This window comes from Homo sapiens, chromosome 7 (genome assembly GCF_000001405.40).
Source record: "Homo sapiens chromosome 7, GRCh38.p14 Primary Assembly".
Classification (NCBI taxonomy): Eukaryota; Metazoa; Chordata; class Mammalia; order Primates; family Hominidae; genus Homo; species Homo sapiens.
This window is the reverse complement of record NC_000007.14, coordinates 91,309,815-91,322,101: the sequence shown is the minus strand read 5'-3', so window position 1 is coordinate 91,322,101 and position 12,287 is coordinate 91,309,815. Positions and strand designations below refer to the sequence as shown.

At 36.2% G+C, this 12,287-nt stretch overlaps 1 long non-coding RNA gene and 1 pseudogene across 3 annotated transcripts in view; one reads left to right on the top strand and one right to left on the bottom strand.

Annotated features, from left to right (window-relative positions):
* The window catches only part of LINC02932 (long intergenic non-protein coding RNA 2932), a 204,101-nt gene extending 193,324 nt beyond the window's left edge, over nt 1-10,777 (bottom strand). For 2 of the 3 annotated variants that reach the window (NR_183366.1, NR_183367.1), the window contains exons 1-3: nt 10,716-10,777; nt 9,540-9,662; nt 6,072-6,129 (exon numbers count right to left, since the gene is read on the bottom strand). This is a non-coding gene — a long non-coding RNA (long intergenic non-protein coding RNA 2932). Of the gene's footprint in view, nt 1-1,114; nt 1,301-6,071; nt 6,130-9,539; nt 9,663-10,715 lie in introns of all 3 variants that reach the window. The other variant, NR_183376.1, reaches the window with a different exon arrangement.
* NIPA2P1 (NIPA2 pseudogene 1) lies at nt 908-2,103 on the top strand (annotated as a pseudogene).
* Nucleotides 10,778-12,287: the final 1,510 nt, after the last annotated feature.

Sequence of the window (12,287 nt, the reverse complement as noted above, 5' to 3'; positions counted from 1 at the left end):
CTGACAGGAAGAGGCCAGAGGTCCAACAGTGTGGACACAGAGCTATCTCATCATTCAAGGACATAATCCCTTCAGGCTGGGAGACACACAGTGAGGCTCCATGAAGCATACAGAGGACTTGTGCTGACCACAAGAAAATAGGAGACAAGCCACTGAAAAAAGAACCAGAAAGAAATGAAAGTTTTTAGTCTTTGATCTCTTTTAAATTCTGCTTGGAAGTGTTTCTGGGCAGAAGAACATCTCATTAAGATTTTTTTGTTTTCACTCTTCTATGTGGTGGTACTAGGTATTACCAGAGGAAGTTAGGGAGGGAAGATGGAAAAGACAAACGTTCCTAGTCATTTTTCAGAGCGTTGACATTCAGGGAAAATGACTGACAGCTTCTGTTTCCTTATACTCACAATTGGACATTAACAACTCTGAAAGGTTAGTGTCTTGATGAAGGTGGCATTCTGTGATAACTCTCCCTTTATGGCCTCCTGGGTTGGGATTTTATGGCCTAATCATACTAAAATCAGATTTCACTGGGCCCACTGAATTATACACACACAAATACAAGTTCAGACCACCTTTTATGTAATCACTCTGGGAAGCTACATGCTTGATGGGAACCTCCTTCTTTTAAAATGAGCATTATGGTCAATGGCATATTCATTCAGCCATGGAATATATATTTACTGACATCTATTATTACAAGGTCAAGGGCAAGTTGCCACTGCTAAGATGAGATGAGGCAGCAAAGGCAGCCAGAGATCATCCTGAGTAGGTGCAATTTGGAACACCCCACAGAGAGGAGCCCAGCTGCAGCCCACAGGGTGCTTACTTCCCACTGGATGTAGATGAAGGCAGGGGAATGGGGGGTGGAGGCTATAGTAGCCCATGAAATCTGCATGGGGAAAGTCTCAGATTTGAAGACTGAATCACATTACTTCTAATATAACAGTTTCTCTTTTTCTGTGATCAGTGTTATTCATGGACATTTCTTTAGTAACAAATGTTATATCCAAAGGCATGGAATAAATGACTTTTATATTGGTGTGGTATTGTCTCTGAGCTCCAGCATTTTTAGTGGGGAGAAGTACACTTTGAAATAAACAAAAACAAGGTCTCTTACCAGGATAGGAACCATGAAAGCAGATCTAAGTGACCATGCATATCTAAAAGAATGGTTGTGGTGGGCCGGACTCTCAAGGGGAGCCAATGAGGTTGCCAACTTTACTGCCTCTGGGCCAGCTGCCTTAGCGCCTCCATTAGGAGCTCTCATTGTCCTTGTAAAGGTCTGCAGTTACAGTCATTCATCCTTCAAAAGGAGAGGACATAGAGACCTTACATAAAATGTCTTGCAAGCTAGGTGATCCACATTTTATGGTTTTTGTAAAACTTGTGGCCATTGTAGTCTTGATTTAATCTTGGTTTTAGGACTTCACCACAAACTGAGCATTGTCTTTACATAACCATCTGCTCTGTAAGCAGAGCGTTTTCAGTCTGCTATGTTAAAGGCCTGAGCATTGTTTTAAAGAACTTTCTGCTGGAAAGTCTCTGCTGAGACATCCCTTGGCCTGGTTTCTGCTGCTAAGCCTCACAGTCTGTGTAAGCACACAGATTAATTATTTAAACAGGGCCCTGGACATATTGAACCCTTCTATATAGCAACTTCAATGTATTATGTGTTCTTTAACATCAGTTTTAACTTACTCAGCTCTTTAAGAAGGGGCAAGATATGCCTGTCGATTACATTATTGGTACTTTGAGTGTCTTCTTAGGATGTTTATGGGGATGTCATTATTGCATGCCTTTAAAGATGACTGTTTAGCAAAATTTCCCATGTCTTTTTGAGATGAAAAAGCAATTAATGCAATCTCTCTAATATTCTTAATATGTCTAATATTATTAATAGCAACAAAGTTTAACTTGTAGAACTGAACAACAAACTGGTCAAAGTATCCCCCAAAAGAAATAAAAATCTGATAGTTTTTGAGAAACAAATTTAATTAAAACATTATTCTGTAATTCTGCTACAAAATGAGTTTGATTTTTAAAACATGTCTGAAAATGACAGTGTCCTCTTAAATACTGTTCTCTAGAGATAATCATTTTTAGGATCATGATCTTAGTGAAATATGTGGTTGATTTCTATTTTTATTGACACTATATTGTAGTGTAGTGTGTGTGTGCGTGTTGATACCTCCACAAAGAACCAATGTATTAGTGACAATTGAATGTAAGAAAATGTTTTATTTCTTTACTGGTGAAAATTTAAAAAGACATCTCTGTAGCAGGGTATTGGTCAAGTAACCTACTAGTTAAATAAGGGTAGAATTTTTTTTTTCAAAATATTGTTACAAAGTTTTATTTGGAGGGAGGGATTAATTTTCGGGATTTTTAGAAATAGTCTGAAATGATGTGAAATGAGGTCTGGTAGATAAAGTAGACCATCAAACTGGATAATAACATTTTGGGGATTTGTAACTATAATGAAGAGACCCATTTTCCTTCTGGCTCTGCGATGATTCTACCAAAGAGAAATTTTGAAAATGTGTGGAGAAAGGGTAGTGCCAGCAGAATACACACCACACGTGTCCTCATGCATGACTGCCTCAGAGGCAGCTATCATTTGAACTTAAAGAGTATGAGATATTTACTTACAAATCATCGTTCAAAACAGAATGGGAGAGGTCATGTTTAAAATATCTGTCAGTCAAAGCTGAGAAGCATTATTTTTAAAAAAAATAAAAATGCTTTTTTGCAACCAATATCAGAGTAAAATTATTCTAAGAGCACATCTTGGGCAGAGAATCTTAAGTGCTTTTCATTTTTTGGATTAAAAAGAATTCCACACATCCAACATTCCTCTGTATGCCTTAGAGATTAATTTCTCACCACTTTAGGTAATGTCAGTGAAGTCATCATGAGGTTAATCAAAAATTTTAATGCAAGAGACATATGATATAGGAAAATGTATGTACATGCTACAATTAAGTAAGAAGTGCTTTCTTTAGACATAAGTAATGAGTTGTCCATTAAAAACTAAAAAAAACTCCTGGAAACTTGATAAAGTCTTTGTTTTAAAAGAAGTTGGCTCTTAGTTGTCTTCATGATTAGTACATTTATCTATTCCGTTAAATCTAAAGAAATTCTGTCTGAATATATCCATTTTTAATTTTACAACTTTATTGTGGGTTTAATGGACCCTAAATAAGCTGCATATATTTAAATGTACAATTTAATAAGTTTTGTCTTATGTAAACATCCATGAAGCCATCACTGCAATCAGAATAGTGAACACATCCATCACCTTCCAAAGTTTCTTAATGCCTCTTCATAATCCTTTCCTCCCCATGAATCCCTCCTTTCCCAGACAACCACTGATTGCCTTTCTATCACTATGAATCCTGCTAATATGGAATTTTATGTAAATAGAATCATGCAATATACTATACTCTCTTTTGCCTGGCTTCTTTCACTAGGCATAATTTTGAGAATCACCCATGTTGTGTGTTATCATCCTTTATTCTTTATTACAGTTAATTCTACTTATTCCTAGTATTCCAGACATTCCTATTTATTCCTTCTTATTTCATCATATAGATGTGCCAGAGTTTGTTTATCCATTTACCTGTTGATGGCTATTTGGGATGTTCCAGTTTTTGATTATTATGAATAAAGCTGCTGGGAACATTTATGTAAAAATCTTTGCATAAACATGCACTTTCTTTCCTCTTGGGTCATAGGTGAGTATATTTTTAACTTCTTAAGAAATTGCCAAATTGTTTTCCAAAGCAGTTGTGCCATTTTCCATTCCCACTAGTAGTGTGGGAGAGTTCCAATGACTGTATTTATATAACTGACCTAAGTCCCGATCTTCTCATTTAAACAGATATTAAGCATTTTTATTTTTTATCTTGTTGACTGATACAGAAATGACTTGATTGTCCCTAAATTGGATCACTTATGCCTTAATAACACAAAGATAAGTCTTTTACAGTGACCCCGTGCCATCTCTCCAGATAGCCCACCTTCCCTGTTCTCCCTCCCTCTCTCTCCTTTTAGTCATTACCTTTGCTTGAGGAATTCTCATGAAAAATAACCCTGAAATAAAGGGATAAATGGTGAGAGAGAAGAAGTAAAGTCGGTAGCGACTGGATAGGGTTGCAAAGTCAAGGAGTGTAGTTGGGTAACTTGCTGTTTAGTTGATGTATTCATTAGGATTGGGTTCACCTTTATGTGAGAGACAACCAAAAATAGAAGTTGCTAAAATGGAAACTTATTTGGCTCTCTCATAAGAAAAGTTCAGGGCACTAAATGGCAACTATGGAATCCTTTGGGTTCTAAGCCCTGTCGTTCCTTGGGTGACTCTTATCATCATGGTCTGTGGTAGCTCGTCTCCAAAGTTGGCCCTGACAATTCCTCTCTGTACTATACGCATAAGCTCCCCCAACTTCTTAATTATGGGGACTGTTTTGACCATTAGAATATAGGGAAAATGATATTATAAGGCTTCCAAGGTCAGGCCTTAAAATAATTAACAGCATTACTTCTTGCCCTTTGGAACTGTCTCACCATGTGAGGAGCCATGTGGAGAAAAGCTGAGGCACTCTGGTTGACAGCCCCAACTGCAAGTCAGCCCCAGCTGTCAGTTATGTGTTTGGCCCACCTTGGATGTTCCTGTCTAGCCCCAGAAGAATACAGCCCCAAATGACATCACACAGAGAAGAAGAACTACCCAGCTGAGTCCAGTCAACCCACAGAATCGTAAGAAATAATAAAATCATTGATTTGAACCACATGGCAATAAATAACCAAAACACATTCTAAGAACTGTGATTAGCCACGTGGTTACATGTGTGTAATCCCAGCATTCCAGGCAGCAGGATGGGTAGACGACAGGGGGTACACAACCTCTTTTTAAAAGAAATATTCCAGAAATTGCCAAATTGTACTTCTTATGTTTCATTGGTCAGAACTCAGTCACGTAGCCCTACCTAGCTTGTAGAGAAGCTTTTGTATTTTCGTAAAGAATTTTGTATTTATACATATATTTTTTAAGTTCTGGGATACATGTGCAGAACGTGCAGTTTTGTTACATAGGTATAGAACTTTTAACTAGACATTGATGAACTCAGCTAAAAATTAGGGTTGTGTTAATTTGAGGGAAAAGGACAGCATTGGTATTTTGTGAGCAATTGAAAGTGTCTGTCTTAGGTTTTTTGGTTTTTTTTTGTATGTAGTAAGATTAATTAGGGTTAGCACTGCTCAAAGGGGAATACAAATTTCCTCAGAAACTCAGGTGGAAAACAATGTGAAGGAAAAAGTAACATTTTGAACAAGAGAGAAATGGAAGGAATATCCATCAGAGGATTCCAAGTCAGCTTTGTTAGTGCCACCTATTGAGATTAAGGAAGCAAGTGCTAGGTTCAAATATAGAGAAAGAAACTAAGGTCTGGGAAATTCTGCTTTGGGAAATTCAATAGGAAGTCAATGGTGAATAATAAAACGCATTCCTGAGCAGCACCAAGGACCTAGTGTGAATTTGTGGGGCAATCAGTGAAGCTGTTTGGGGAATTACTTTAGTAATGATCAGAAAACAAAAGCAGACAGTGGGAGATACTTGGGTTTGGGGACTGAAAAGGTAAGAATGGAAGAAATTTATTTTAAAAAACAATGTTGGCATAAAAAAAAGTGTGCGTATATATGCAATTATATATATAATTTGTACATATATACATTTATATATATAATTGTATATATAATTTGTATATATACATAAATGTATATATACAAATTATATATACAATTATATATACATTTATATACAATTATGTATATATACCATTTATATATACAATTATGTGTATATATACAATTATGTATATATATACAATTTGTATATATACTCTCTATATATACAATTTCACATGTGCCCAAATATATTCATTGAAATAATTTACCTATTCAAAAAAATTAAAGAAACCAATAATAAGTTTAGTTTATCAACAAAAATAGCTAAAGAAGATAATATCTATAATACCTACATAAAAAAATCATGAAGATCAGATGATATCACAGCTTACCCCATCCTTGTTGTATGAACCCGGAAATGTCAACCTCAGTGAACTGCAGTTTCCACATCTATAAAACAGAGTTACATTTTCCATCTCAAAAGTTTGTTGTGGAGACTAAATAAACCAATATATGTATAGTACCTGGAACCTGGTAGGCACTTAATAAATGTAATCCTCTTCATTCATTCTTTCTCCACAAAAACACACTCTAAAAAGAAACTATGAAGTACTATTTACTGTGTATTAGAAAATGGTGTATCAATTAGAATAAGATTTACATTTTAAAAAATACGAGCAAAGAATTCACAGGCTCTTGAAAGTTTGGTGCTAGAACAGTTCTGAGCTTATGTCATCTAACCCACTCCTTTCAAAATGTAGAAGACGAAACTAGAAAGCTTACTTGGTTCACCCAAGATCATTCACCAAGATGGTGTAGAGATGAGCTAGAAACCTTGACCATCCCCCGTCTCAACTGCCAATCATTACTTAATAGAAAAATGTGCTACAAACACTTGTTCAGAGTCAAAATAATGTCACAGATGGAAATAGAACAACTTAAAAAGAGACATACAATGATTTCCTCACAAAATTTTTACCAATTACATCTAGTAGCCGAAATGTATTAGCACACAATCTTCTAGCCAACAAACTTAAATTCTTTATTGGAGGCTATTAAAATACTTGAGAGTAAATGTTAGAAGTAGATTCATAACCTTACTGAGTTTTTTAAATGAACAAAAGAAGAAAATATTTATATACTATGTGAAAATTAAAATTTCAGCCTGGTAAAAGACATCATAAATAAGAAATTTTAAAAATGAAGCAAATTGGGAAAAAATGACACTATACGACAGGCAGTGTACTGGTACATAACAAGTTATTATGAATCACCGGGAAAAATATGAACATCCCAGGAGAAAATGGGCAAGGGATTTGTACAAGCATGTCCCAGATAAAGAAATATATATAACCATTAAACAGAAGAAAAGAGTCTAACTAAAATTTAAATAATCACATCTAAAAACAATAAGAGATATATTTACCTCTCAGATTACCAAAGATAAAAAAGAGTAATAATATCTCACAGCTTGGTTAGCATATAGGAAAGGAAGTTTTTAAAAATATATGCCTAGTATTGACATAACTTTCCTGGAGGGCAATTTGGCAATTTCTATAAAATTTCTATGAAAATCCTTATAAAATTGTTGACTCAGAAATGCCATTGCCATGAATTTATCTTATAAGAGTACTTGCTCAAATGCCTAAAGATAATTTTTAAAGATGTATATTGCAGACTGAGTTGTAATATAAAAAAACTAGGAAGTCAACAAAATGTCCACTCATTGATGAGTAGAAATAAATAGAGGAACGATGTGTTCATATGGCATGTTCTACTGTTTAAAATAAACAACAAAACAAAAACAAGGTTGCTCTAAATGTACTATCTGGAAAAGTGCCAGTGACACATTAAGTTGAAAAGCAAGTTGTAAAGCAATATGTATAGGATGACCCTATTTTGTAAAAGGGGAAAGAAAGTATAGGTGTTTGAATATACACGGAAAAATGTCTTACTCAGAGACCTTAACTGAAAACAACAGAATTGAGCAGAATCTAGCTTAGGCCAAAAGGGATGATTTGACTCGTGTCACTGGGAAACCATGGATGGAGCTGGCCCTAGGGGCAGCTGGATCTGGGGGTTCAGGTGATGTCTTCAGAGTTGTCTCTGCACCAACTCTGCTTCTCTCTGTGTTTTGCCCTCATTCTTTTCATTCCAGATAGCCACCTCCCTCGTGTAACTAAAAAACTTCAGCCATTCATAAGCTGACTTCAGATCTTTCTAACAAAATGATCTGCAAAAGCAAGACATAGAATTTCCTAGTAGCTCTAGCAGGAACCTCAGGGAGAACCCTGCCAGTTTGATCCCCAAACCCTTCCCTGAGGCAGTAAGTGGGGCCAGGGCTCATTCTCATTGGCCAGCAAAGCTCCCGCTTCGATCCTGAGAAGCAGTGGGGGCACAGAGTAGGGAGTGGTGGTTCCCCAAAGGCAGAATGGATTCTAGGAAACAATGTATGTCCACTACTATTGATACTGTAATTTACATAGGCAAATATGGGCCAGGCACAGTGGCTCACGCCTGTAATCCCAGCACTTTGGGAGGTCCAGGTGGGTGGATTGCCTGAGGTCAGGAGTTTGAGATGAGCCTGGCTAACACAGTGAAACCCCATCTCTACTAAAAATACAAAAATTAGCTGGTGTGGTGGCGCACACCTGTAATCCCAGCTACTCTGAAGGCTGAGGAACGAAAATTGCTTGAACCTCGGAGGCAGAGGTTGCAGTGAGCCGAGATCAGGCCACTGCACTCAGCCTGGACAACAGAGCCAGACTCTGTCTCAAAAATAAATGAATAAATAAATAAATAAGCAAATATGGGGACTGTGGGAAATGGGATTTTTCAAAAAACCAAACTCCTACCAAATCTCTCCTTCTCATACACACACCTTTTCCATTATTTGATCAAAATGCAGCCTGTGTATTTCTGGACAATAAAGTGGTTAATTTCTTCTGGAAAGATACTGGGAAAGGAATTTTATTGAAGAGGTTGATTGGGCTTTTTCTGTGAGCAGAGACCCTGATTCTGTGAGATAAGCGGGGGAATGCCAGCCTTGGCTGAATGCTGCTATGGCTCTGCGTGGGCTTGTTCTGGATCACTCCCCAGCCCCAGGGGCCGGAGGACTCCAGGGCAGGGCCAGCCTCATGGCTCTGCTGTAGCCCTAGGACCTTCTGACAGCTGCTGAACAGGCTATAAATGTCCCCAGAATATATTTTTCTCTCCAGAAAGCAGTTAGTACACTCTCTGCCACATTGGAAGCTGATTGCCTTCTTTTCCTCGTATAGGCATGTCGAAGAGAAACCAGAAATGCAAGACCTAACAGTTAAACTCCTTAATTTGGATTCCACAAATCTAGAATTTGAGATAAATCATATAGGAGCTATAATAAAGTTTCTGTGTTATCTCTAAATAAAAGATTTATTTTGCAAATTATAGGGTAAATAAGATTGCAGAGAAATGGGGAAAGCTACTTTTCAAGAACCATGCACTATTTCAGAAGCATCCATCAGCAGGTAATCATCTGATAAACTGATGACTAATTGTAAAGCACTGTTATCTATTCAATCAAGTTTTTTTTTTTAAAAAAAACAACTCTTCCATTGGACACTTTGTAGCCTAGTTCCTAGTTACTATAAATATTCTGAAAAGCATCTAAAAATGGTATAATTCAGAATGCTTTACTAATTCAGTTTACTGGAGAATTTTTATTGTAGGATGGCTAAAATTAGTTTTCAGCTGTTATAGTGCTTAAGAGCATTGGTTTCTGAGGTTCAAATTCAGGTTCTATCATTTAATGGTATCTTGGGTAAGCTGCTCACTCTCTGAGCCTGTTTTCTCATTTTTATAATGGGACAACAAATACTCACCTTAAGGAATTGTTGTCAGGATTCGGTTGGAAGTTTGGCACATAGTAATCCATCAATAAGTATTAATCTTTAATCTTCTTAATCACATATTGTGTTTTGAATGTGTCCAACTCTCCTAAGACCCTAGACATTTTTGAAAAAAAATTTTGGTTTAGTGAGAACAGAATAGGATAAGAACCAAATGGAGCTAGCCCTAACACACATGCTGGCCAAGTGCTTGACAAAACACCACTTTGTTCAGTACAGCAGGTTATGTCAACTCTGAGGAAAAAAACTCAACATTCTGAATCAATCTGTTAACTTCAGTTCATTGATTTTACAGGATCTGTGGATTATTTTCTTTAAAGAAAGCAACCTTACTTACCATGTTGTACCATTCCTATATTTAAAACCCAAAAACTAAAAAACTCTCCACCTCTCCTCCCTAGAGTTAGGTGGCATTTTGATCTATTCAACCTTGGCAGAGTCCACCAGCATAGATGGTTCCCATTTCAACAACATTCTTGTGCATGTGACATGCAGTCAGTGCTTACCCGCAAACCACACTAGGGGATGAGCTAGGAAATCAAGAGGCAGACCAAGCAACTTGGTAAAGTAGAATGAGTGTGGAGAAAATAAAACAAGTGACAAACTGGGGAAAAATATTTGGCACACATCTAACAAGCAAAGGCTACAAAATTCTACTATAAGAATGCAAACATTTAAAAGAGACTACAAGTTAATCAGAAATGTCAAACAATCCAACAGAAGAATAAGCCCAGATACTTCTCTGCCAAGTTACAAAAGAAATTCGAAAGGTCAAAAACTTATGAAAAAAAGCTGAGTGTCATCAGTAACCTGGGAAATTCAAATGAAAGCAACAGTGGCTCACCAATTTTGACTATGAGATTTGAAAAAGTTAAACAGACTGATAACATCTAATGCTAAGATTTTTAAATGAGTATTCTCTAACATCAATTTTATTTATTTTCTATTACTGCGGTACCAAACTGACACAGATTTAGTGGCTTAAAACAACACAAATTTACTATCCTATAGTTTAGCAGATCAGACGTCCCACAGAATCTCACTGGGCTTAGATAAAGGTGTCAGACTGGGCTGTATCCCTTTCTGGAGACTCTAGAGGGAATCTATTTCCTTGCCTTTTCCACTTCCTTGCCTTTTCCATTTACTTGCCTTTCCCGTTTTCTTGCCTTCCAGAGGACGCCAGCATTCCTGGCCTCCATCATGCATCTTTAAAGCCAGCGATGTTGCAACCCTCTGATCATTCTCCTGTAGTCACCGCCCCCTTTCTGACCACAGCTGAGACAGATTCTTTGCTTTTAATGATTCATGTGATTAGATTGGGCCCAACTAGATACTCCAGGATAATTCCCCCATCTGAAGGTCCTTAACTTTAATCCCATCTGCAAATTCTCTGTGGCTGTGCAAGGTAACATAGTCACAGGCTCTCAGGATTAGGACATGGATATGTCTGGGAGGAGGCTTTATTCTGCCTATCACACTAACGGTTAGAGGATGGCCTGTTTGTAGGACAGTTTGGCAGTATACGCATTATCACTGACCCAGCAATTTGACACCTGAGTATCCCACAGAAACACTTGCACATGTGCATAAAAATGTACATTCAAAATGTTCATTGCAGCATCATTTGTGAAAGCAAGAGATTAAAACAAATCAAATATTCTTCGAAAAAGAATGGTTAAATAAGTTATGATATGACCATATTATGTTACAAGACCTCCACATTTTTAAAAAATATTTAAGTTTTATTTTAACTTTTAAGTTCGCGGATACAAGTGCAGGGGTACAAGTACATAGGTAAACTTGTGTCATGGGGGTTGGGTTTGTTGTACAGATGATTCTAACACCCAGGTATTAAGCCTAGTACCCATTAGTTATTTTTCCTGATTCTCTCCCTCCTCCCACCCTCCAGCTTCTTAAAGGCCTCAGTACATGACATATTGTTAAGTGAAAAAAAGAAAAGAAAAAAATAAGTTGAAGATAAACTATAATACGAATTTAAATTTATAGATTAAGAATTTAGAAAATGTCTGGAAAGATCTCCACCATTGGAGGGCTCTGAGAATTAGAATGGAATTGAGGATGAGGGATGGAGGGAACATGTGTGCGTGTGTGTGAATATATATACATGAATACAGTTATCTATACATAATACATTTTATATTTTTATATATAATATATTATAAATATATACTAGGTCATCTGTATATTTATATGTAATATATATTACATATAACATTTTCTACATATTATGTTTATATATTAAATATATTTATATATTATTTGTATATTATACACATTATATATTATCGGTACATTTATATGTTTATATTTATATATCTGTAATATTTGAATTTTTACAGAGGTATATTCACATGTTACTTGTATTTTTAAATATTAAGTTGTTTAAAAAACAAAGTGCACCAGACTGTAAGTCATGGGCACAGCTGTGTGACTTGGGCTACTCACTTTATCCTTCTGGGCTTTAGTTAAATAGTCTATAAAATAAGAAGTTAGACACAGGGATTCTAAATTCCATTTCAACTCCAGATTTTATGAATAGATGCAGCAAAAAATTTAAACTCACTCTAGTAATATTTTGGTGATGTGTGAAAAGGAAAATAGTAATTTCTTTATTGATTTTTAAAATCACGTCCTAAATTTTCTGGAATGGTCTTGACATTAAAATATTTTAATTTTTGATTCTGTAATATGTTAGTACTT